The sequence below is a fragment of the Homo sapiens genome, chromosome 12 (genome assembly GCF_000001405.40).
Source record: "Homo sapiens chromosome 12, GRCh38.p14 Primary Assembly".
Lineage (NCBI taxonomy): Eukaryota > Metazoa > Chordata > Mammalia > Primates > Hominidae > Homo > Homo sapiens.
The window spans coordinates 126,437,030-126,463,126 of record NC_000012.12 but is presented as its reverse complement, the minus strand read 5'-3'; the positions used below and the strand labels follow the sequence as shown (position 1 = coordinate 126,463,126).

General features: G+C 42.2%; 2 long non-coding RNA genes and 1 pseudogene across 2 annotated transcripts in view, besides 3 other annotated features; 2 read left to right on the top strand and 1 right to left on the bottom strand.

Annotated features, from left to right (window-relative positions):
- Nucleotides 1-20,646, bottom strand: part of LINC02347 (long intergenic non-protein coding RNA 2347) — a 30,305-nt gene extending 9,659 nt beyond the window's left edge. Inside the window, exons 1-6 of the long non-coding RNA NR_130748.1 lie at nucleotides 20,539-20,646; nucleotides 20,100-20,161; nucleotides 18,074-18,242; nucleotides 15,066-15,148; nucleotides 4,586-5,194; nucleotides 302-409 (exon numbers count right to left, since the gene is read on the bottom strand). This is a non-coding gene — a long non-coding RNA (long intergenic non-protein coding RNA 2347). The remainder of the gene's footprint in view (nucleotides 1-301; nucleotides 410-4,585; nucleotides 5,195-15,065; nucleotides 15,149-18,073; nucleotides 18,243-20,099; nucleotides 20,162-20,538) is intronic.
- On the top strand, nucleotides 4,232-5,590 carry FAM32EP (family with sequence similarity 32 member E, pseudogene; annotated as a pseudogene).
- Nucleotides 8,991-9,490: an enhancer, noted in NCBI's record as "H3K27ac hESC enhancer chr12:126938183-126938682 (GRCh37/hg19 assembly coordinates)". NCBI's record gives its function as "activates a minimal SCP1, AML or CMV promoter by ChIP-STARR-seq in primed H9 embryonic stem cells {active_cell/tissue: H9 hESC(primed)}" and the evidence as "EXISTENCE:reporter gene assay evidence [ECO:0000049][PMID:30033119]".
- Nucleotides 9,491-9,992: an enhancer, noted in NCBI's record as "H3K27ac hESC enhancer chr12:126937681-126938182 (GRCh37/hg19 assembly coordinates)". NCBI's record gives its function as "activates a minimal SCP1, AML or CMV promoter by ChIP-STARR-seq in primed H9 embryonic stem cells {active_cell/tissue: H9 hESC(primed)}" and the evidence as "EXISTENCE:reporter gene assay evidence [ECO:0000049][PMID:30033119]".
- The window catches only part of LINC02825 (long intergenic non-protein coding RNA 2825), a 48,536-nt gene continuing 36,238 nt past the window's right edge, over nucleotides 13,800-26,097 (top strand). Inside the window, exons 1-2 of the long non-coding RNA NR_147498.1 lie at nucleotides 13,800-13,907; nucleotides 17,557-17,707. This is a non-coding gene — a long non-coding RNA (long intergenic non-protein coding RNA 2825). The remainder of the gene's footprint in view (nucleotides 13,908-17,556; nucleotides 17,708-26,097) is intronic.
- Nucleotides 13,925-15,124: an enhancer, noted in NCBI's record as "BRD4-independent group 4 enhancer chr12:126932549-126933748 (GRCh37/hg19 assembly coordinates)". NCBI's record gives its function as "activates an origin of replication core promoter dependent on BRD2, P300/CBP, MED14 and CDK7 cofactors, and independent of BRD4, by STARR-seq in HCT116 cells {active_cell/tissue: HCT116}" and the evidence as "EXISTENCE:reporter gene assay evidence [ECO:0000049][PMID:35650434]".

Below are 26,097 nucleotides of genomic sequence, written 5' to 3'. Positions count from 1 at the left end.
GCAAATTCAATGCTTCAACAGCTTCTGAATTCTCAGACAGATATAAATTAATTTCTATTGACAGAAATAGCAAAGTCTTTATTCCTGGGTCTGGAAAAGGAGTTTATTTTAGACTAAGATGTTTCTGCATATGATTCATTTCCTAAAGCCCTGAATATTAAGACATTCTATGGTGCGCTCATAAAAACTCTGCTTTGGAATCTCACTTTGGCATTGTCTGATATCTGTTTTCAGGGCCTGTACCTTTCTAGGCTTTTGACCCCAAACCTGACTATAAGATGCTGAAGAGCTGACACTATACCTTTGCATTTCTTGCAGGCCCACAATGCAGCCTCAAAGTGAACACGTGCAGAAAGTCGGCACCAGGGACGTGCTGAATCGGGAGGAGGCACTGCTCAGCGGATGAGACCTAGGCATGGAAATCAAATAACTCAAGGCGAGATTTCTTATCTGCCTCTTACTATCTGTGTGACTTTAAGCAAGCCTCGTCTCTTTAAGCCTCAAGGTCTAAATGGACAAAACGCATGTAAAAAAATCAATATTGTTCTCCTTAATTCAATCAAATTAATAGAAAAAATAAATAGATAAATATTGTCTAAAACAAATAATACCAGTCTCTAATTCTGATTTTCTCCAAATGACTATTTCATCTTCAGTTACACCCTCTGACTTCCAGAGCATGGATTTTTGTTCCAGAAAAATTTCCCTTTAAAGCCTGCCTCATATCACTTCTAATAGCGTTCTTCTGTTTTGCGTTTTCTGAGTATTCTCTTAATCTAAGGTTCTCTATCAAGTTTTGTCTTCTAATTTCTACTCTTTAGAACATTCTGCACTCATCCAGTGGACATCCCTATAAGGACAATTTAGAGAACTGGCTATCCATGAATTTTTTTTTCCAGGAAGCCACAGATCTATACTGAGGAAGTATGATAGTGCCTCAAAAATACACAATTCTGCACACATTCTCATCAAGCCTTGACATTTGGGTATCTGTTAGAAATACATATGTTTTCTACTAATACTTTTTAAACTATCCAAGTAGATAACAACACACCCAGAACACATACAGCAAAATGTTTGCAAGAGAATTCATGTGAAATGCCAGGAACACTTATGCATATCTTTTTTCGTTTGCAGGCTTCTCTCTGAAAAAGAGTCTAAATGGCTCACGTGCCAAGGAGAAGACATCTCTACAAGTTGCAGCATGAATTAATGTGACATGGACCTTCCTATAGAGAAGTCAATTCTTAAAAGTAGAAATCAGTTTCTGACCCAGGAAAATGAGTTGGAACCAGGTAGTAACCAAATATCTCTATGGAATATTCTTTCTAAGACAGGTGGGTGAGGTTTGTAAATCTTTCAGGCTAATTTAACCAGCTAATTTCATGCAAAACACAGCTTTTTGTTTTACGATTTGTTTTTCCATTGAGAATCTTTTAGCAGTTGGTGATTGTCTCTGAGATTTTAACATCTTTCTACTTTTATCTGCTTTATTTACAATATTTATATACTCCCTAATATTGCTCTTTTGGGGGCAGATAAAGGGGCAGGTGAATGGCGGGGCTCATAAGCACAAAAATGACATCCATTCTATATCTACATTTATGTCTCTTCTATACATTCACATTTCTATATCTATCATCTATCTATCTATCTATCTATCTATCTATCTATCTATCTATCTACCTATCTATCATCTATCATCTATCAATTTACCTGCCTATCTATCCTGTGTCTGTCTTCTACATCTACATGCATACCTTTTCTGTATTTATACCTTCATTTATATTTGTGTTTGTGTATTCTACAGCTATATCTACTTTATATATTCTACATCTGTATCTAAATCTATATTTCTCCATCTATGTAAGTTTTGTGGTTCTCCACTTCATAAATCCTGTTACGGCCCCAGTGGTGGACAGAGCCAAAAAAGGATTTTGGAGCCAAAAACACATCCTTTCAAATGTGGTTTGGTTGTAAATATAGAAATAGTGCAGTTTCACCACTTCAAAAATTACCTGCTGGCCATTTTTTTCACGTCTGAGGATGGAGTTTAACTGGCAGTGAAATTGATGGCTAAAGAATTTAAAATGTTTCTCATAATTCTTCCTGAGTAGAGATCTCACCTTAAATCCTGCTGAGCTGATCAGTGCATTTACATCATCGGGATATTAGAGTTGAAAGTCACATCAGTTGCAGCAGCTCCCTGTCATGAACTTCCTCAGAAGGGAAGTAGAAGCTGAGCTTAAAAAGAAATTCCATCACCTTGAAGTAAGGCCACATTCGAGGTGTCTTTCAATGCTACTGATGCATGAAGCCACTTGTCTATTTTATCTCTAGCTAGAGAGAGACAGATAGGTATCTATATTCACAAATCTATCTATATCTATCCCTCCATCCCTCCATCCATCTGTCCATCCTTCTGTGCATCCATCTACCTAACTGCCTACCTATAGACATCTATCTATCTATCTATCTATCTATCATCTATCTATCTCTATATCTATCTATATATCTATCTGTCTATACATCTATCTACTTACCTACCTATACATCTCTCTCTCTTTCTACCTCCCTACCTATACCTATACACCTCTCTATGTATCTATGTATCTATCTATCTACCTTCCTACCTATTCATCTCTCTATCTACCTATCTACCTACATATACATCTATCTGTCTGCCTGTCTGTCTGTCTGTCTGTCTGTCTGTCTGTCTACCAACCTACCCATCTATACATCTATATATCTATCGACTATGTGGTTGAGAAACTGGGCAGTCAAAGTGGCTCATTTAAAGCATAAATTCAGTCATGTTGTTCTTGTGCTTAGAAGAAAAATGACTTCCCATTTGGCTTAGAATGAAATCCAAACTCTCCACCATGATGGGCCAGGCCTGTGTGACAGCTCCTGCTTCTGCTGTCCACTTTGTGCCCTTCTCCTTCACCCATCCTTACAGCCACAATAGGCTTCTCTCTGCACGCCCAGTAACAGAGAACTTTTAGTCGGCATCAGACCTCTTTGACAAGGTGACAGTTTAGTCAAAGGAATCCTGCAAGAAGAGAATCTGGCCCTGCAGCAACAGGGCAAAGGTTATTCAGCCTTTGAGAGCAGCCAGTGGAAAGGTCCTGAGGGGTAAGGAGCCCAGCAGGCATTGCAATGCCCGTTGCAAACTCAGATCATTCTGCTTAGTGTTCTCCGAACACTCATCACTATCTGAAATCGTCTGGACCATTTGTTTGTTGTCCGTCCCACTCATGTAAGTTCCATGAAGGAGGAGACTCTGTTTGTCTTGTCTGTATCATTGCCCAGGACCCTAAACCTAAAAGCCTGCATATGACACACTAAGTGCTCAGTGAATGCCTGGGGAATAAGGGAGCTGCATGATTCTTTCTTTCTCTTTCTTTCTTTCTTTCTTTCTTTCTTTCTTTCTTTCTTTCTTTCTTTCTTTCTTTCTTTCTTCTTTCTTTCTTTCTTTCTTTCTTTCTCTTTCTTTCTTCCTTCCTTCCTTCCTTTCTTCCTTCCTTCTTTCTTCTTTCTTTTTCCTTCCTTCCTTCCTTCTTTCCTTCCCTACCTCCCTCCCTCTCTCCCTTCTTTCTTTCCCTCTTTCTCCCGAGACTGGGTCTCACTCTGTTGCTCAGGCTAGAGTACAGTGGCATGATCATGGCTCACTGCAACCTCCACCTCCTGGGCTCAAGCAATTCTTCCACCTCACCCTCCCAAGTAGCTGGGACCACAGGTGCATGCCACCTTGCCCAGCTAATTTTTGTAGTTTTTGTAGATATGGGGTCTCACCATGTTGCCCAGGCTGGTCTCAAATTCCTGGGCTCAAGTGATCCGCCTGCCTCGGCCTCCCAAAGTGCTGGGATTACAGGTGTGAGCCACCATGCCCAGTGGGACCTGCATCTTTCTCTGCACAGACTTTCCAAATTCAACCTAGGTAAACTCGTGGCTGCTCTCCATCCCTGTGTTCCCAACCTATTGCTGGTTTCTTTGCAGAGTCCCTTCTCTTGTTGCCTCTTGTCTCTACCCTGGAGAACCAGGTTCACGTCTTAGCTATTACAGAGCCTCACCTCACTTCCAGAAGTAACTATAACCCTTTGAACACCTGGTTGGCATCTCTATTAGCCTCATTTGCTTATACAACTTACTTGTCTGGGTTAGAATTCTTGTTTTTTCACTTTCTGCGTAACTTTGGGCAAGGTGCTCACCTTTCTGTAGTACAGTTTTCTCACCTGTACAAATAGAGAGCATAATAGTACTTACCCCATAATGTTCTTAGGAGGATTACATGAGCTAATACATAGTCTAACCACAGAACTGCAGGCGGATGTCATGGTCGCCCATGAGCAGGTCCAAAAAGGACCCCTGAAGCTTAAAAGCATTGCAGAGCTCAGCATAACCAAGCAGAATAAGAAAAAGAAAGACCAAGACAAGGTGAAACTCAAGGAAGTGATGGAATGAGCAAAAAGATTAAGGAGCAGAAGCAGTGTGGCCAGGACAAGTGGATCCCAGCCCAGGTGGCCTTCAAGAATCTCCAGGAGAACAAATAGAGAGGATCCTGAAGAAAGCATCCAAAACTTACAGGCAGAGTGTGGAGGACTTCAGCAGACACCTGCTGCACACAATCAAGGAGCATGATGAGGTTCTCACAGCTAGCTGGACGATGTGGCCTCCGCCCTGAGGATGGAGCAGCAGTGCAGGGAAGCGGGAGTCCACACTGGAGTTGTGTCTGTTTCCTTTGGCATTTTCTAGAAACATTGCTTTGCATGCACCCTCGAATCTCCTGTTGTGACAGTGCTTTTCAGAGCTGTGCCCCCTCATTGGGGAACTTGATTAAAGTGAAACACCTTTTACTCACTTTAGGTTTCTTGGTGGCACATAGAAAGTACACCTTTACATGTAAATGGGAAGTTTTAAAAGCTTATCCAGAGGTAAAGGCCACTTTTGTGTCCATGCCCTGTAAAAATGTTTTTACCCTCGAGTTGCGTCTCACCCTCTGAGGCCAGCCAGCTGTCTTCGCCTGGATGAGATGAACTCCAGAGGATGAGGGGCTAATGCCAGTGTGACCTGCGGGTGCAGACTCCTGTGAGACCCGGGGTGGGTGCCCTTCCAAGTGTCCTCCACCTGTTCCCTGCAGGCCGCAGGAAAGCCACTTGCAGCTTTGTGGTCCTCCGACGGCCTCCTCGGCCACCTGGCGGGTGAGACAGTGCAGCCCGATAGCAAAGCAGCCATCTAAGGCAGCGATGTACTATTTGCCTCATCCCTTTCTAGGTTTGTCGCCCCAGATCCCCTTTCCAAAAACTCCTAATGGACATTGCCCATTGATTGCCACTTTTCTTTGTAATGAAGCCCAGACATGGGCTGCCTTGGCCCTCAGCTCAGAAACCCAAGGAGCCTCTTGAGTTTACCCAGAGTTGACAAGATCACATGGGGCTCTTTGGCATCCCTATGCTCCAAGGATACCTCAGGGGTGACAGGACCAGGACAGAGCCCTAGCACAGACAGACACGGGTGCAATCAAATGGTAGAGCCCAGGCACCAGTGCTGGAGGGCCAAGAGGGCCTGTGTGTGCCAGGTTAGGGTCCACCTGCATGCGCTATTGGGAAACATCATCTCTTTGGGGAGAAATGGTCTCTGTTAATGTAGATATTTAAAGAATAACAAAGGCAGAAGAGAAAACCCAAGTGTGGAGTTTGGAGTTGTCTGCAAACTGTAGAATAAAGCAAAAACAAGTTATTAAAAAGTGAGCTCATATAGACAAATAGGTTAGAAAATTGATGTATTATCATAGCTTGATAGATATTTGCTTTTAAAATTATAATTGTAATAATCATAGTGCTTTGAATCATCAGTCCTTTGTAAAATCTTCACTCTCCTCAGACTAAAATACATTTTAGTACAAATGAAGGGATGGCATTTCATTTGTTTTAGAATATTTTCACAGATGTCATACATCTGGCAAAATGTAATTATATGTTAAATACATATCTCATTTCCACATTTAGCATATAAGAGGAAAATTATTTGAGGTCAAAATTCCTCTGGAAATTCCTTTAAATCAACTGTAAATTACAGCGTATGCATGTATTTGTGTACATAATCCTTTTAAGTAATAACTATGCCTCTCAAAGTGTTGAAAGTCACTGAGTTAGACCAAAAATTGAATGAAAGAGAAAACAACACACAGATAGGTAAGAAGCTGTCCAGTCCTCATCATAAATCGGGCATATTGGAGAAGCCACAAGTGTCCCTTCTTGCCTGCAGGGTTGACTCCATTAGGTTCCACTGCTAACCCCGGCAGACAATCCTAAATTATCTTCCTGTGAAGATTAACGAGATCGTAGACAACATCTTGCTAAAGATTGAGTTTTAATGCTGGTGCTTTAATTATCCTTTAGCGCTACAAAACCATGTGAGGCAAGGTATTAACATTTAAGTTTTTTTTAAAAGCATCAAGAATTCCAAAATCAGGTACAAAATCAAAAGGCAGATTTTCAAACAGAAACTTTGAAAAGTGGTTCTTTAATGCTTAAAGGATCTCACCCTTTTCCACAACAGAGAAGTGTCAAGAGAAGTGAGCAAGAAAAAATTTCTTTGGACAGAGCTTGGTGAAGAGACATCTTTGTGTTTAAAGGCAATCTTGAAACTCATGGGCACTGTGGTCTGGGATCTGAGTCCTGCTTAGGATGTGTGAGGCTCAGAAAGGTCTGGTTTTCTGTAGGACATCAGAGCTGGGAAGTGCTTCTAATCCTAGAAGGGACCTGGGCTCTCAGAAGGTACTGGAGGAAGGAGGCTTCATGTCCTGTGCACCAGAAATGGGTAAGTCCTGGGCTGACTGTGACATTTGGCATTTATTGTCCAAAGGGAGATGTGTTTGAATATGAGCATGTTTGCTATTGATGATTATGCATAAAAAATAGACAAGGCTGGGAGATAAGCCAGGCAATCAGAACCCTGTGGTCACTCTAGCCATGCAGAGAACCAGCCTGGCAATGGGGCCTGGACAGAGTCTGAGTGGGGTGGATGAACAAATAAAAGCAGTTGTGAAGGTTCAGGAGGGGTCGGCAGAAGCACACTATGCATTGCTCAGGGGGATCGCTGTCTGTGTGCCCGACAGGGTACCTCACAGGAGCCCATGAAGGTCTACACAGAATGAATCAGACTGAAACTTCCACCAGACCAGAGACCTCAAGCCAGCTGAAGACAGTATGTTACAATCTCTCCTGTCTCTTTTGTGTCCTTTCTTCCCTTTCCTCTCCCTTCCCCTCACCAACCCTGGAAAGATTAGAAACCCTGGAAAGAAGAGAGGGGAGAGAGAAGAGAAAATTTTCCCATCGTTTCCCATCAAAGTCTTCCAGCCTGAGCTGGGAAAGGAAATAATTTAATGTAGAATTGTATTTGAAGTTTTCTGTAATATTTTGAATTGATTATTCTAATTTAGACTGTTTGCAGCTTTTAGGGGAACACAGGATTATTATTGACCCTAAGAGAGGTGGTGGAAAGTCCTGGGCTAGCTGAAATTTTCATCCATTTACAGGAAGGATTAACTTATTGGAGAAAATTTAAGGGCTCAGGGAGACTGAATAATTGCATTTTAATATTATCCCATAAATTGTATATTCAGTGTACCTATTACTAGTGATTTTCTTGTGTTTCCATTCCTCCTATTAACAAATACTTACAAAATATTGTGTGAATCACTTTAAGAAATATAATTATGATATGACTTCAGCTTACTTAACACATGTTGTTTAAAGTTCAAAGCGTTTGTATAAATGCTTTCATTAATCTAATTCTTCTTTACAATAAAAACATAATCCCTCTGGCTTAATACAAAGAAAATTCCCCTTAAAACATTTTGAAGATATTAATAAGTCTGATATATATTAATGTCTCCCTCAGCTTCCTGCAAGTCAGTTTCGAATACTTTTTACATTTTACTTTCAGGCTTCAGACTGTGAAAAGGGGCTCAACTTGGTGAATAGAAAACTACCCTGCATTGAAAAGAACGCTGCTGGATCCACATCCTAGGTTCAGCTTTTATGAGCAGTGGGGCTCAGGGGAGGGGAGATTTACTAAATACATGATCCTGAGGAAGTATAAAAAGAATAGTAATAAAGAACAATGCCCTGAAGATTGTAAACACTGAAAGTTGTTGGCTGAGTTTTATCCTATCATTTAGGATTTTTTTTCGTCTTAAGTGACAGAATTGCGGCAGGAACCAGCTCAGAGCAGAAGTTGTCTGGGGCTGTTTCTGGGAGGCTGGGTGTTGGGGGTGGAGGTGGGGAAGGCAGGGACCTGAGTCCCAAGGACTGGAACGAAGCCAGTGCCTTTCTCTCCCTTCCTGGTGATCTCAGCTTGTCTGGTGTTGGTTTGGACTCCTTTGTTCCCACAGCAAAGTCTTCTCCACAAGGTTAAACAGCACCCGTCTCTCTCTCCACAAGGTTAAACAGCACCCGTCTCTCTCTCCAGCCTTTGTCTCTGGTGGCAAGGCTGATTTTACTCCAGCTTCAAACTTTAAAAATCTAGAGAGAGTCTCAGAAAGGCCTGGCTTGGTTTCCATGCCTATCCCGAATCTATCCTGGGGGAACAGACAGCTAAGATTGTCCAGGTTGGGCCACCTTCCTCCATGGGGTCAGAGGAAGGATGGGGTGCACGCTGCTGTAAAAACTAAAGTAGAGGTTCCTCTTCAAAGAGACTTTCCTCCCCATCTAACTAGGAATAAATAGTAGCTTCTCTTAGAAGCAAAATTTATTCAAAGACCTGTGCTAACATTCTTAAATATCTGCTAGCTGTAATAAAGAAATCAATGTACTTTATGTTCTTAACTCCCACAATTTAGCCTAAATATTTCCCCTGGCATGCTTACACTGGACCAAGCAAGCATTAGGTCATAGCCTGTTCCTCTTCCTTATTTGGAGGTGTTTTTACCTTTCTCAGCATTCCACAAGTTACTTCCGCCTTCCTTTGTTCTCCTCTGCCTTTGCCTCTTTTAAAAAGTTCTAAGTTGCTAGCCAATCGGGACAAATACAGAATCGGAGGTCCTATTGCAGCCAATAGAAAACGGACATAGCAGTAGGGTGGACGCGTCAGGTTATAAATGACCCTGTCTCCTTTGTTCGGTGTACTCTTATGGCAAAATTGCTGGCGAGTATACTCTTTCTGCAAAAAGTGAAAAAATGGCCTTGCTAAGAAAATTAAATTTATGTTCAAGTGCTATTTCTTTGCAACATCAGGGAACAAGCATTTCTAACACTGCTAAGAAAAAGGAGAAAAAAGCCTTGGAGTAGAATCAAACAGAAAGTTGGAGACTACTAGATTTCAATGTAAGTCCACTCAATAAGCCTCTGAGTGTCTACCTGAGGCAGGCAGATGCTGCTGCTTGCTAAGGATCCAAAGACAAGAAAGGCATGTGCATACCCCTTGCAGATGGCATGCATTCACTATGAGAAACAGAGCTTTCACCCAACAATCACCGCACACTGTGAGGAGCTAGTGTAGACATGTTAGAAAGCAGCACTGTGGCAGCTCTCAGAAGGTGTTGGTGGTCTCTGCCATGGGCAGGTAGGCACCAATGACCTCCTAAGATTCTTGATTGAGGCCTTGTAGGATGAGTAACAGTGTTCCAAAGACAGCAGTAGGAGTGGCTTCCAGACAAGGCGTGGAATAGCATGGCCTCAGGCAGAACCTGAATTGTCCCAAATTTTGGGATTAAAAGGAGTAAGTAGGAAAATAGAAGAGTCACACCTACTCATGGATAAATGGGCAGGTGTTAGCATGGAGGGTATTGCCGCCATGCTAAAGAGCTGGCAACTTGTTTCTGAGCATGGTTAAAAAATAAGCTGGTGATAGGACTATCGTGAAGAATAATAACAGATCCTCATAACTGTGGACTCTGGATAGGCATCGTGCTTTGTGTGTTTCACCTCTTGAACAGGTGCTGTTCCAGTTCTTTATTTATTTATTTTTGAGACAGAGTCTCACTCTGTTACCCAGGCTGGAGTGCAATGGCACAATCTCAGCTCACTGCACCTCCGCCTCCCCAGTTCAAGCGATTCTCCTGCTTCAGCCTCCCGAGTAGCTGGGACTACAAGCATGAACCACTACGCCCAGGTAATTTTTGTGTTTTTAGTAGAGATGGGGTTTCACCATGTTAGCCAGGATGGTCTCAATCTTTTGACCTTGTGATCCTCCCATCTCAGCCTCTCAAAGTGCTGGGATTATGGGCGTGAGCCACCGCGCCCGGCCGGTGCTGCTCTATTTCTTACAGTGCAGGTGAGAAAACTAGGCTTAGAAGATCTGTATGCTTGATCCAGGATCCCTCAGACAGTAAATGGCAGATCTGGAAAGTCACTTCACTACACTACACAGCCTCTTGAAAAAGGCGATGCATGTGGCAAACACAGAATATAGAGAAATACTGAAAATGAGGCATTATTACTTTCAAGCCAATGTCAGAAACAAATAGTTAACACACTGGACCTTTTAGAATATGTGAGCTCCCAATTTGCCCTGTGAAACTCATCAGCATTATTCTAAACTCCTCAAATGTCCATTTGAGTGGGGTGAGTCACAGTTTGTATTTGTTTTACTATGATTTCTGTGACCCATGTTTTGAATTTTAACATTTCTTCATCAGAGAATAACCAACAATGATTGCAGGGAAAGAACAAGTTCTGCTTTCTTACTAAAACTGGCTATTTCTTTTTTATTTATTCATTTATTTTTTTAAGATGGAGTCTCACTCTGTTACCCAGTCTTGAGTACAGTGGTGTGATCTCAGCTCACTGCAACCTCCACCTCTAGGGTTCAAGCGATTCTCCTACCCTAGCCTCCTGAGTAGCTGGGACTACAGGCTTGCGCCACCACACCCGGCTATTTTTTTTTGTTTTTTATTTTTTTGTATCTTTAGTGGAGACTGGATTTCACCATATTGGCCAGGCTGGTCTCAAACTCCTGACCTCAGGCAATCCACCCACCTCGGCCTCCCAAAGTGCCGGGATTACAGGCGTGAGCCACTGTGCTGATCAAGAACTGGCTATTTCTTAAATCATGCATGTGTATGTAATAACAGTTCATATTCATGGAGCACCTATTCCATGCTGAGCTCTTTATGGGTGGTCTGCATCTGAATTGCTAATTAATTGCTAAAGACTTCAGTGTGGTTGCACAGAAAAGGATTAAAGTACTCACACACAGAAAAACGGTTACTGATTATGACAGAGCTTTGTATCAGGCCTTGAAGAGAGCAGGAAAAGAAAAAAGAAAAACAAATGGGAGAAAGGGTACACCAGGATGAAATAAGCCACCTTAAAATCAGAAGTTGACTTCCAGAATCCATTTTTAATGTAAATTATTGATATTTTGAGCAGGTCCAATTTTGTAGCTATTTTGAGATTTTTATTTTTTTTTTCATTTCCATGATGGTAACCAAAGAAAGAAAATGTCTAAGTGCTGGCTTGACAGCATGGAGATTTTTTAAGGGTCCTCTTTGGTTTCTGACTTCTGAATTTTAAGTATCTATGGGAGCATTAATAATGAATCCATCTTTGCTGCTGACATCAATGGCAATGCCTGATCCTAAGGCACAGAACTTACCTTGGCCTTAGAACCCCAAAGAAAAATTCCATTTGTCTCTGGAATAAGAGGCACAATTACAGGGAGGAAAAAAAAAGAAAAAAAAAATGCCTGCCTGACTCCAGAAATTCTCTCCATGGAGAACTTTCATGATTAAGTTTCTAAACAAGCTTCACTGCAGATGTTCTGGGTATCTCTGGATTCATTTGTTCCACGTGTTTTCTGGGATGTGCTAATTTGTGAGAAAACACTCTCCTCCCTACCTTCTCTTAGCTACATGGTGTATATAACCCATGCCTTTGGAAGAATCAATTTTATACTTTGTGAAGGCTTCAAGACAGGATATTGGTGAAAAATGAGGCAGCAGAGGGGGTGGAGGGGATGTATTAGTCTCTTCTCATGCTGCTAATAAAGACATACTCAAGACTGGGTAATTTATAAAGAAAAAGAGGATAATGGACTCACAGTTCCACATGGCTGGAAAGGCCTCAGAATCATGGCAGAAGGTGAAAGGCATGTCTTACATGGCAGCAAGCAGGAGAAAGCGTGTGCAGGGGAACTCCTCTTTATAAAACTATATAGATCTCATGAGACTTATTCACTATCACAAAAACAGGGGAGTTTCTGGGCCAGAGTGAACGCTTTTATCTACCTCAACCTTTTACTTTAATAATACACACAGGAGATGGGAGAAATTGAGTACTGTCACTCAACTTAACTGTTTTCAGCTTCTTAAATTTTTGCCCAGGTTTCTCTCCTTAATTCCTTCAGTTCCAAAATAGATGAGGACCAAAGACAATATTTACAGCTAAGCTGCTCAGGTGCCTCAGTGAAAAGAAAGAAAACTCTCTTACCTCTGCCCACAGGGGCAGCCTATTTGTGGGTATAAAGTCTGGGCTGTCTAAGAAATGTGAACGGAAAATATCCTGGGCCCTTTCAAGCTGGGAACTGCTTAAGGCAAACCTGCCTCCCATTCTACTCAAAGTCACCCCTCTGCTCACAGAGATAGATGCGTATCTGATTGCCTCCTTTGGAAAAACTTATCAGAAACCCAAAATAATGCAACCATTTGTCTCTCACCTACCTGTGACCTGAAAGCTCTCAGTGTGGGAGGGGGAAGCTTGCTTTGAGTTGTCTCTGTCTTTCTGGATGGATCTAATGTACTTCTTACATATATTGATTGACATCTCATGTCTCCCTAGAATGTGTAAAGCCAAGCTGTACCCCAACCACCTTGGGCACATGTCATCAGGACTTCCTGAGGCTATCAGCAGCGTGTCTTCAACCTTGGCAAAATAAACTTTGTAAATTAACTGAGACCTGTCTCAGATTTTCTGGGTTCACAGAAATTTTATACAAAAGGAAAAAAGAAGTTTCCTTTAGTAAAAATCCTTGTTAAAACATCTCCCATTGCATCTTAAGATTGTATATTTTCCTTCCTATTATGTTGGTGAAACTTTTTGATGGCCCACATCCAATTGAGAGACAGGACTAGCTGGATTTCCTAGGCCGACTAAGAATCCCTAAGCCTAGCTGGGAAGGTGACCACTTCCACCTTTAAACATGGGGCTTGCAACTTAGCTCACACCTGACCAATCAGAGAGTAAAGAGAGTTCACTAAAATGCTAATTAGGCAAAAACAGGAGGTAGAGAAATAGCCAATCATCTATTGCGTGGGAGCACAGCGGGAGGGACAATGATCGGGATATAAACCAGGCATTCGAGCTGGCAACGGCAACCCCATTTGGGTTCCCTCCCTTTGTATGGGAGCTCTGTTTTCACTCTATTAAATCTTGGAACTGCACTCTTCTGGTCTGTGTTTGTTATGGCTGGAGCTGGGCTTTTGCTCGCCGTCCACCACTGCTGCTGGCCGCTGTTGCAGACCCGCCGCTGACTTCCATCCCTCCAGATCCAGCAGGGTGTCTGCTGTACTCCTGATCAAGTGAGGCACCCATTGCCCCTCTCCATCGGGCTAAAGGCTTGCCATTGCTCCTGCACAGTTAAGTGCCTGGGTTCGTCCTAATTGAGCTAAACACTAATTACTGGGTTCCATGGTTCTCTTCCATGACCCACTGCTTCTAATAGAGCTATAACACTCACCACATGGCCCAAGATTCCATTCCTTGGAATCTGTGAGGCCAAGAACTCCAGGTCAGAGAACACAAGGCTTGCCACCATCTTGGAAGCCACCCACCATCTTGGAAGCCACTGCCATCTTGGAAGCAGCCACCACCATCTTGGGAGCTCTGGGAGCAAGGACCCCTGTAACACATTCATCCTTGAATGACAAAATGTCTGGTCCAGCATGGTATTATAACATAAACATGGTGGGTGCATTTTCTTTTCCTTGAATTCCTTCACCATTTACCCACATTTTCATTCTAGCATTCTCGAATGGAGCATAATCAAAGTGAATGTCCGCATGTCCAGTAACCAGGCAACCTGAGGGGTGGAGAAGGATTGGGACTGCCAGTGGTCTGGGTAAGGAAGTTGCTCTGCTGCTTTGTCTTGTCTGTGTTTGGGGTTTCCCCTGCTATAGGGAGCAGCTGTCTGAATCTGGATTTTGGTCTGGTCTGGCATCCATGCTGGACAGCTCACATGGCCAAGTTCAGCCCCTTTCATTATTTCTTTCTGACCCAGTAGAGAGACGGCTGACCATTCTTTGCTGGCCCCTGCTGTAGGTCCTGGGGGCCCTACCTGGGACTTCCCATCACTGATCTTTTATAAGCTGGTCATCTTTGAATGAAAAGGGCTCCCCAGTGATGTGAGACACACCTGCCTGGTGGGCTGCCCTCTCCGTGTGCCCACTCTCATTCCTAGTCAAACACAGCAGTGGGTTCAGCCAAGATCTCTGTGCCAGCTGATGCTCTTCAAGTGCAGGTTTCTGGAAACCCTTCTCCAACTGGTTTCAACAAAACAGAAGAGTTCACTGATGAACAGAACTACAAAGCCCAAGAGTAGAACTGACTGACTAGACTCAGGGGCCGGAACAACGAATCCAGTCTCTTCCTCCTTCTCTGTATCTTTGGTAAATGTTAGATTTCATTTTCAGATTCCACTCACCATCTCAGGCTTCTATAATCTATATGCTTAGTGATACCTGAGGAAAAAATGTAGTATCTTTATCTGGTAATTTCTTAGGAGTCCCAGAACTCATACTAATAATCAGCTCCACCTTATTGAAAATTCATAATAATCAGCTCAACCTATTCAAAATCCTAACACTTAACTGTGGCCACCATGGTCAGAGGGATGGAGTGAAGAGGCTTGGAGAAGCCCCACTCATGTGCCTCCTGGTTCCTAATGACAGCAGCAGGGAAGAGGGTGGGTTTCTGATGCTCTAACTGGTCAGAAGGAAAGCCTCATTAAAATCCCCAGGTTATAAAAATAACTAAATCAAAATAAAATTTGTTACTGTGAGCCCAACAAATGAGTTGGGACATGAACAACATCAACAATTGTCTGCCCCGATAGCCACTAATTACCTTTGGGTGAGGCAGCACCATTTTGCTGGAAGAGGTTCTGCCTCTTGTGGATATGGATGGTTCTCTATTATTGTTACCAGCACCTGAAGGTGATATGGCTCTGATTAGTGGAGGAACACCAGATTCTTCTTCTCAAGTCAAATTAGAAAAAAACTACAGGGACACACGTGGAGTAGTTTTAAGGAGCGGAGAGTTTAATAGGCAAGAAGGAAGGGAGAAGACAAAAGCAAGAAGCTCCCTCGTACAGAGACAGAGAGGAGGAGTCTCCAAACCCAAAAGAGGAAACCCCAAGTTGGGTGGATACCTGCCAGGTATATGTAGAGGCTGGAGGAGGCGGTGTCTGATTTGCATAGGGCTTAGGGGATAGGTTTGACCAGGCATGTCATTTACGTAGCCCTGGAAAAAACTGACCCTCCCACCCTAGCCTTTGAATATGCAAATACAGGCCGCCATGATGTTCCACACACGTGGGGATATGTGGGGGTGGCCATGTTGCCAGGAACATGTGGGGCAAGGGCAAGAAGGCAGCCAGAATCCCCATGTGTGGGTGGACCTAGTTTCTAATGGCTCTCATTTGCTTATCAAAGGCTGCCCACCTGGCTCTAACAGCTGGGGCTTTCCAGCTAGACAGGAAATGTCTTTAAAAATGAAAATTTCCCAAGTACCCCTTTTTATCTCTATCCGCCTAAAATAATTTCTTAATAACTCTTACCACACAAGCATCCTCCTTCTTTAAATATTTCCTTGTTTATTTTACTAGGGAAAAAGAGCTGGTGTTGTCACCATTGTTCAATTTAAAGACCTAATTGGAATTACTCAATTTTACACAATTTCTCAGAATGGGTATCAAATTCCCTGGGTCCATAATCCACATAAAAAGAGAGATTAGGGTGTTCGGCACCTTTCTTAATATGCAAAACTAAAATTCTGGATGCTACTAATAAGATAGTCCTTTCTTTTTCAGACTGTCGGAAACATTATAGCCAAACAAAGATTCTGGTTTATTTTTCTCAAGGAAAGTGGAACTGATGTTGGAATTGTGAGGAGATTTAGACATCATCAGAAACGATTCATGTCATGATGTTGGAAGTCTCCTTTCTTCTTTAGTTCTGACAATGCGATGTAAAAGAGTATATATTTTATTTAAATTTCTATCTTTATCCATATACAATTGATAAATAAAATTGTAGACATTTAAGGTGTACAACATGATGTTTGGAAATACATATGCATTGTGGAATAATTACCACAATCGAGCTATTTAACATATCTCATCTCACATAATTACCATTGTGTGTGTGTGTGTTTAGTGAGAGCATTTAATATTTCAATCCTTAGCAAATTTCTAGTATATAATACAGGATTATTACCTATAGTCACAATGCAGTACATAGATCTCCACAACTTATTTATCCTGCATAAGTGAGATTTTGTACCCTTTGACCAATATCTCCCTATTTTCCTTTCCCTGCGGGCCCTGGCAACCATCCTTATACTCTCTGCTTCTATGAAGGTAATTAGTTTTAATTCACCTCCTGGGGTAGCAGTTTCAGTAATCAAACACTCACATTCCTGCATTGATTAGCAAATGCCCAATTAGAAAGTCCACAGTCCAGAAGTTCTCACTAAAGCCTGTCAGCTGCCATTTTCTATGTCTGCTCAACACTGGAGGTCTCACTAGCTAGTGTAATTCATCTAGAAATGCTATTTCCTTGGAAAGTGTAGTGGTGTGTTCTCTAGCAACATGGATGTAGAAAATGGGCTTTCATTGACGAGAAAGGCAGATGGAATAAACTGAATCAGTCACTCCTCACACCTGCAAAACAAGGTCTCACCATCTCATAAGCCCCATACTCTATACTTGTAGGGAGAGCACATGAAGTCAAACCCCTAAACCACCCTCCATCCAGTCACTGAGATGGCAAATTCAGGTTGCCAGATGCCAACTGTGATGGATTTCTTCTTTTAGAACATTGTCATAACTGTCCCATGGGGATCTTTTATGGCATGTGTTATGTGTTGAAGGACTCATGTGTTGAAGTCTTTGTTTTCTTTTTGTTGTTGTTGTTGTTGTTTGTTGTTGTTTGAGATGGAGTTTTGCTCTGTTCCCCAGGCTGGAGTGCAGTGAGGTGGTCTCTGCTCACTGCAACCTCTACCTCCCAGATTCAAGCAAGTCTCCGGCCTTAGCCTCCCAAGTAGCTGGGATTGCAGGCATGTGTCACCACACCTAACTAATTTTTGTATTCTTAGTAGAAACAGGGTTTCACCATGCTGGCCAGGCTAGTCTCGAACTCCTGACCTCAGGTGATCCACCCACCTTGGCCTCCCAAAATGCTGGGATTGGAGGCATGAGCCACCACGCCAGGCCTCATGTGTTGAAGTCTGAACCTCCAATGTGACTGTACTTGGATATAGGGTCCTTTAAAGAACTAATGAAGATTAACGGAGGTCCTAACAATGGAGCCTAATCCAGTTTGATTTGTGTTCCTAGAAGAGGAAGAGACATGAGAGATACGCACAGTGAAGAGACCAAGCTGGGACACAGTACGAAGGTGGCATCTGCACGCCAAGCAGAGGGACCTCAGAAGAAACTGAGCCAGCCAGCACCCCACCTTCGTCTTTGACCTCCAGCCTCCAGAACTATGAGATATACCTTTCTGTTGTTTAATCCATCCAGGCTGTGTCATTTTGTTATTGCAGCCTGAGAGACCATTACAGAATGTGTAGTTGGATCACTTACAAGGATAGAGGATCTGGGTATCGTACAGTTTACAGAATGTATGGACCGCTGTGTTCCTATTGATAATATGTATTAATTATCAAATACTCATGTGTATGGCAGAATTTGTCCTGAGGCTTTGTTTCCTCTTAATCTGATTGTGAAGTTGGAGAAAAGGCTAATCCCTTGCCCAGCTCAAACTCTGACAAATATGTAATATTATTTCAAAAATGGTTTCCCATGACCCAAAGGGCTGAGGCTACTTCATGGCATTTGCTCTTTGACTCACCTGGACAATCTCTAGAAATGCACCTGAACTCGCCTGATGAAGTGCCCAATATTTCCCATTGTTCTAGGGAGCTGGGTTTTTTTAGCATGGAAATGAGATGATAATGAAGCCTGAGGTCTTCCTGAAGTCATTTGGTTGGCTATCTTGGCTCTAATCAGTTTCAGCTGGTCTGGTTAAAAAGGGAACTTTTTATTGCAGGCATCCTTAAAGAGTAGCAGAGTTAGGATAGGGTAGAAATTCAGCTATGTCACATAGGCATTATACTAGGTAACACTAACACCAGGGAAGAAACAGTACCCTTCTCACGAGTGGGGCACTGTCACCAAGGAGATGGTGGGGTGGAGCTCTGCCTACCAACCAAACCGTACATCAAGACTTTATTCTCTTCTTATGCTCTAGAATTTCACAGTAGTATTGGAGATAGGACATTTCCTTAAAGAAAGATGGAAAGCTAAAACAGGTTGCTATTGATCCGCTGGATACAAACAGCTTGCATGTCTGCAAATTATTCTGGTTGACTTGTGCCCAGTCCTGTTCATACAAGGACTTCAAAGACTCACCGGTTCATTCTGGAAACACAGATATTTAAAAACCTCCCATGTTAGCCAGGCACAGCGGCTCTGTAATCCCAGCACTTTCGGAGGCCAAGGCAGGTGGATCACTGGAGGTCAGGGGTTTGAGACCAGCCTAGCCAACATGGTGAAACCCCATTTTTATAAAAAATAAAAATTAACCAGGCGTGATGGTGGGCGCCTATAATCTCACCTACTCGGGAGTCTGAGGCATGAGAATCGCTGAAACCTAGGAGGTAGCGGTTGCAGTGAGCCCAGATCATGCCATTGTGCTCCAGCCTGGGTGACAGAGCGAGACTCTGTCTCAAAACAGAAACAAAAACCACAACGAAAAAACCTCCCATGTTCTTAGGCTCTGGCTCTGTCTGGGACATCTGCTGTCCATAGAGTAACCAAGGGCTATTTCCCAGCCACTAATTCCAGAGGTTTCCAGAGGGTTTTGTTCCCTCCTTCTTTGAACACTGCAGTCCATCAGGGTTTCAAGTAGTCCTGGTTTCCCAAAGTCTTGGTTGAAACCTGAAACACAGGACATTTGACCAAAAAAACAAAACAAAACAAACAAAAAGAAAAAAAGCCCCTATCCTAATGCCACAGAGACCCCAAAACAATTCACCAAGTGCATCAGGCCTCAGAGAATCAAATCAACTCTTTCAGTCTCTGCCAATGGCCATTCTCTCCATAAGTCTCGGGCAAAATTCCCGGTGGGAGGCAAATGAAGCCGTGTCTACACATCTGCTGTCCTCCCTCCCACACACCCTCTCCACTTCCTTCCTCGGTAGGTCACAATCAAAACACCTATGCAAATTTAGTGATTCTTTATAATTTCTTATCCATTGAGCCTCTCATGCTGTGCTTTATCAGTTTTCCATGACCACGAGACGCTCGCAGAACAAGCTAGTGCTTGGGACAACTGAAGATGAAAAATAGATCATTGGAGGTTGTGATCTAGCAAGGAAGATTAGGTTTATACCTAGAAAAGTTAGAAAAGCAGGCGCCTAGAGAGCCAGGTGTCACCATTTTAAAATTAACTCCATCTTTAAACTCGCAACACACATTCCTTGCCAGTTATGACCCGTGGTCATAAGATGTTTACTGCAGAGGAAACCGCTTGGCAATGCCTGCAAGGACAAACTCCTACAACAGCAGAAAGTCCACATGTCCCAATATCACATAACAATATATGCTTTTAAGAAATGTACAATCATGCTTTCATGTACTTATAAACTAAAATGCCAAGGATAACTTTCTTTAAATGGCCAAAGTACTACATCTTGTCACATTGTCAGCCCACCCACACACAGAGATAGCTTAGCTTTTATGTAGATGAGACCCCTGTGTAAGAAGAGTTTAAAACAAAGACAGGGCATTCCTCCTCTTGCTTTCTGAGGACACCCTACTCTGAATCTGAAGAATTTTCAATAAATGATCTCTTCTCACTACACTCTACAACTCACCTTGAATCCCTTTCTGTGGGAGGTCCAGGAACCCTCTCTTGAGGTCTGGATCATAGGGACCCCTTTTTCCAGCAACACAAACATTGACAATATAAAAATAAAGAACATGTTTATCTATGATATCAATGTCTGTATCTGTAAGTATACCTAGCTCAAAATCTGTCTCTTTATTTAGTTTTCTAACTATATGTCTATCTGTATCATAGACATATTAGAAATCATAATTTCTAACATATTGTTGTAGGAGGTCATAACAGAACCTATTATAAAGTGACAGTCTCTTGCTCCTATTTTCTATTATTTCCCATTCAGTCCAGGTAAGTCTTTTTGGGGGACCCTCCCCCACACCCGCTGGAACAGTTACTCTGGCACAGCCGCTCCAGCCTGGATCTCATTTTTGCTTCTCCTGGACTTCTCACTGTGCAGATGTTAGACTCACACTCTCCTCTGGCCTCCTGCTCCTGCTCTGAAAGTGAGCAGTTGTCCCTCTGGGTGGCATTTGAAGTCAAAGCTGGGTCTCTTGACAGTGCCCACCCCTGGTATTCCCACTGCAGGAGGGAGGCCTCTTCTGTTAACAGTGACAGTTATTACAGAACAATGCCTGGAGAGATGATAACTTAGAGCAATTTCATTGTCTTTCCCCTTGACGACTCAGCTCCCACGCTAGAGCAGGTGAGGCAGTGCTTAGGAATAACAAAACAAAATCGCAAAGCCAGGACTTCCTTGAGTTTACTTTGCTTTCTCACTAGATTTTAATTATTATTATTATTATTATTATTATTATTTTGAGATGGAGTTTCACTCTCGTCACCCAGGCTGGAGTGCAATGACGGGATCTCAGCTCACTGCAACCTCTGCCTCCCGGGACCAAGCTATTCTGCCTCAGCCTCCTGAGTAGCTGGGATTACAGGCACCCGCCACCAAGCCTGGCTCATTTTTGTATTTTTAGTAGAGACAGGGTTTCACCATGTTGGCCAGGCTGGTCTCGAACTCCTGACCTCAGGTGATCCGCGTGCCTCAGCCTCCCAAAGTGCTGGGATTACAGGTGTGACCCACGGTGCCCGGCCTCTGACTAGCTTTTTGGAAAATTTCATAGAATGATCCAGGGTTCCAGATTCAATTTACTTTAAGGTGAAATAAGTGGGCTGGTTAGCAAGTGGTCAGCTTTTCTTTGGTGTGAGGATAAAAAGAGGGTGGCTACTTTCTATGGCTTTCCAAACAGTCTCTGTTTCACTTAGTCCAAAAACACGTAATGTTCATATAACAAAGAAATGATACATATTTGAGGTGATGATATACTAAGTTGCCTAATTGGATCATTCCGCCATGTATACAGGTATCAAAACATCACATTTTGTTCTATAAATATATACAGTTACTATTTGTGAATTTAAAATCAAACTATAAAAAATACATTCTACTAATGTTCTAAGATGACTTCTGAGACATTTAGCGTGTATTGATTACTTATACTATGTCTCTCACTGCTTCTACTCATTGAAGAGGTTTATATTGTAAGTAAACATAATTCTTATCATATTCATTTTACAGATAAGGAAACTAAAGTGCAGAATAAATATTTGTCCAAATCTGCACGAGAAAGAGGTTCAACACAGGGCTAGCACCCAGGGATGTCTAGTTTTCAGGACCCACCCTCTCGCGTAGTACACTGCCCCTCCCTCCATTCACTGCAGTTAGGATTCAGGAGCAATAACTGGACACAGTCAAGCCAGTTTGCATCTTTACAGAAAATTCCACCCATTTCGATTAGTGAAGATTCACACGTTTAGCTATGATTTGGCTCCCAGAATTCCTCCAAGTCAGAATATAAACAGAGCTAGACATAGTTCAGACAGTTGTGTCATACCAAAAAAATTTTTAAAAGGATACAGAATCAATCAATCAAGTAGAAAATGAGACATTTTTCATTAAGCTAAAAATAATTAAGTCAATTATTTGGCACTAATGCAACTCTTAAGCCCCGCGGGTGGGAACTTTTGGTTCATAAAAAGTGTTTAGTTCAGATCTGAGCTGAAACAACTTTCAATCTCATTTTCAAGTAGAAAGATGGCAAGGGCCGAGGCGGGCGGATCACAAGGTCGGGAGATCTAGACCATCCTGGCTAACACGGTGAAACCCCGTCTCTACTAAAAATATAAAAAATTAGCCAGGCGTGGTGGCGTGCACCTGTAGTCCCAGCTACTCGGGAGGCTGAGGCAGGAGAATGGCGTGAACCCGGGAGGCGGAGCTTTCAGTGAGCCGACATTGCGCCACTGCACTCCAGCCTGGGTGACAGAGCAAGACTCCGTCTCAAAAAAAAAAAAAAAGAAAGAAAGAAAAAAAAAGAAAAGATGGCAAGGGCTCCTTTACACACCAATAAAATCAGAACAAATACGTATAAGCAACTAGGACAATCCTGGAATATTGTGGGCACCAAGTAAATATCGTGGATGCATCTTATGCAGCCAGACAGGATGATCCAATAATCAGACATCCGAAGGCTCCTGGAGTTTGATCCTCTGAATTCACTCTGCAATATGAAGTCCTGTTATTCTTGGCAACCGATCGTGCTTTTGAAAAAGTGTGTCCCAACTGAGATAACATTGAAATTTTCTGTTTAAAGACACCTCAAATGACTGTGCTCAGGAGTCAGTGTTCCCATCAATGGGTCTGAAGATATTCCTAAGCTCCAAGCCATAATAAATGGCATCTGAAATTATTTCAAGATTAATCATCCTGGGTAGACCTTGAGGGTTAGTCTGAAATTGTACATAACAACCCGGAAAAGCTGTGCATTGCCCAGCTAAAGTGTGGTCCCTGAAAGCCATCACCTGGGCCAGGTAGGCTGCTAGGCCACCCAGAGTAGAAAAATACAGAGCAGCCTACGGGCATATTTTCTTACCCAAGGCCAGTTTAGACAGAAGAGTCACTTGAATAATTGTCCACTTCGTTCGTTCTTCAATCCCAGAGGATACTTACTTTTGGAATATTCACTTTACTCCCCACATAGCCATATTTTTCTCACTTAACTCCATCTCTTCTTCTCTTTAAGGCCTGGTAGAAAATGGCCAAATTTTATAAAATGAGGCAGAAGTGCCTCTAACATTGCCCATATGTGGGAAGATGAAACCTAGGAAAGACAGCTTAGAAGGAGGGAGTCATGGTACCCACTGGGGTTCCTCAATGAGAACATTGTAGAAGGTGTAAATTGGCGGACTCAAGGCTGAATGCAGCCTATAGGTATATTTTCTTGGCCTACATGTCATTGCTTTTAAAATCACATTGGTTTTCAATAGCCAAAGTTCAGGGGGTTTTATATGCAGGGTCCTGGGTTTCAGGCTACTCTTTAAAAGTTTAGAAGATGTGGCAATGCTGGGCCTGTGTTTCTGCATAGCAGCAAAGGCCAGGAGCAGAGTAGCAGCTGCTTGCCTCAGAGGTGGCATTAGATCTTCAGGACACCGCAGTCCCCACCACTCCCAATTGCCTTAGCCTGGTTTCTGACACTCATTTATATCACTTGTTAGGCTGCTATGGGCATTGGAGTTTGTGTCTCCTAATTTAATACCTTTGGAAAACATTACTAAAAAACACATTTCCACAAATAGACTTGGCAGTATGGCAGAAATGCAAAAGTTAATCAGACCTACATCCTGCCCCCATATAAAAATAAAGTGCAGAAGAGCATATATAGTATGTTTCTATTTGGGCAAAAAGAAATCCCACATCTTCCCTCTCTCTATGCAATGCAAGTGCACAGTGCATAAATCACAAAGATCTCTTAGCATTGGATGCAGTAGATATATCTACACGATTTGAATTTTTTATCAAATGCTTATATTAATTTTTTAATAAGAGATCTAATTGTTATGATAGTTTCCAGAGATGGCTATCATAAATATTATTCCTCTTTCTACGCACATTACACTCAAACTGTTAAGAAAGGGAGTCAATTTCTCCTCCCTTTGTATCTGGGCTAGCAGTATAACTTACCTTGAACAAGAGAAGGTGGTAACGGGTCACTGTGATGATTCCAGTCACCGTCTATAAGAGGTCCAACAGCTTTTGCTTTCTCTCTGGGGAAAACCAGGCACTGTGTAAGAACTCCAGCCACTATGCGGCTGCCATGCCGTGAGGAAGCTCACACAAGCCATGTGGATAGGGATGACCCAAGTAACCAGGCCGCCAGTGACCACAGAGGCCTGAGGTGTGTGATCCCAGTTGAGTCACCACTATTTGTGACATCCCAGCCAAGGATCCAAACATCGTGGAGCAGAGAAAGCCCCTCTCATCCTAGCTTGTCTGCATTGCTGATACAAAAGTGGTGAGCAAATAAATGATTGCTTTAAGCTCCTAATTTGGAGTAGTTTATGATGGGGTGATAGATCCTTGAAACAATAATGAAGCAAACAGTTGGCATTCTAGAACACAAACAGTAGAAAACGGGTGTGCACAAGACAAGCTGGACACATAGAATCATATCATCTTTCTGACTGAGAAATATTGCAGGTGCAATAACATGCATCTGTCATCAAAGGGCATCTCAGGTAGGTCCAAGTTGAGCTTAGCAGCCTGTATTCAGTTGGGAGCCATTGAGTTATAGCAGGAGTGTCTCCCATACTTCATTGTGAAGTCTCTAAGACAAAACAAACCCCTCTGAGCTTTAGTTTCCACACAAATGGGTAATATTGCTATCTCACCCTTTCCAAAGGCTTGTTGAGAAAATGAAATAACATAACTGTGGCTGCAAGTGTTTTGTAACTTGGGAAGGGCATACAGATCTGGTGAGTTACTAGAGCGGAGTTAAAGAGAAACAACATTCAGGTACTGACTTCAAGCAAAGCCAGTTCATGAAAGGCAAAGTAGGAGATAAGACTGTGGACACAGTGGCCTGGTTAAGACCTTGGTTCTGTGACTTATGCACTGCTTGCCTTGCAGCAGGGTGCTTGGAAACTCTGTGCCTTATTTTGCTCATGGTGAGTGAGAATTGTAACACCCACATTACAGAGGCATTTTGTAGTATTAATGAGTTAACATGCAAATATGCTTAAAACAGTGCTTGGCACACATTGAGAGCTTAATAAATATGAGCCATTAATTTTATTATTATTGCTACTATAATTAGGACCTAGAACATCTTCATAGTTCTAATGTAGTTCTGTTTCTACAGCATACAGTTAATTCTTAACATTTCAGATGTGATACTGCATTTCATCCTACCATTATCTTTATGAGAAAGTTTCACTGAAATTCTCACTAGTCAGCCACTTATTTCTGCTTGAACTTTTTCTGAGATAGAAATGTCTATCTCAGAGAAGCCTCTAATTTTTTAGTTTATTTGCTTGAGATAAATACATAGGAGAGAAAGTATTGAGGCAATTGGTATGTTCACTTCCAAAGCAATTGTCAAATCACCCTCCATAAAGCCTACAGTAATTTTTTGACCTCCTAGTAATCCTGTTAGGTGCATACTTCAACATTTTCTGCCAGCAATGAAAACGCAAACTTTTAAAATATTTTTCAGTTTGATCAGTGAAAATAAGTAATTCGTAATTTTATGTTGATTCTTTTTGTTACTAATGCTGTTGAATTATTTCTCAAACGTTTAATTTTCACATTTTCTTTTATTCCTGCTGACTTGCTTTTTCAGGGTTTTCACACATGATCTGTCTATTGCGTTGTTTTATTATAACTAGATGTTTTTGCTGTTATTCTGTTTTACGATTGTGTGTGTGTTTGTGTGTTTGTGTGTGGCTGTTGTGTAAGGCAGTGTTTCAACTTTGTTTTTCATTATTGACCTCTCTCAGCCTGAGGAGACTTTTAAGACTATTTCCTAATCATTTCCCTCCCTCCATGAAATGTTTATGCTGCAGATGTATTGCATATCTGTTTGTATACTGCATCTAGGCTTGCATTATTTTGTGCTCCCTAACAACCCCACCAGCAAATTTTGCTCCTGTAAGGATGCTACCTCTGCTATTGAGACTGCATGGTGTTGAAG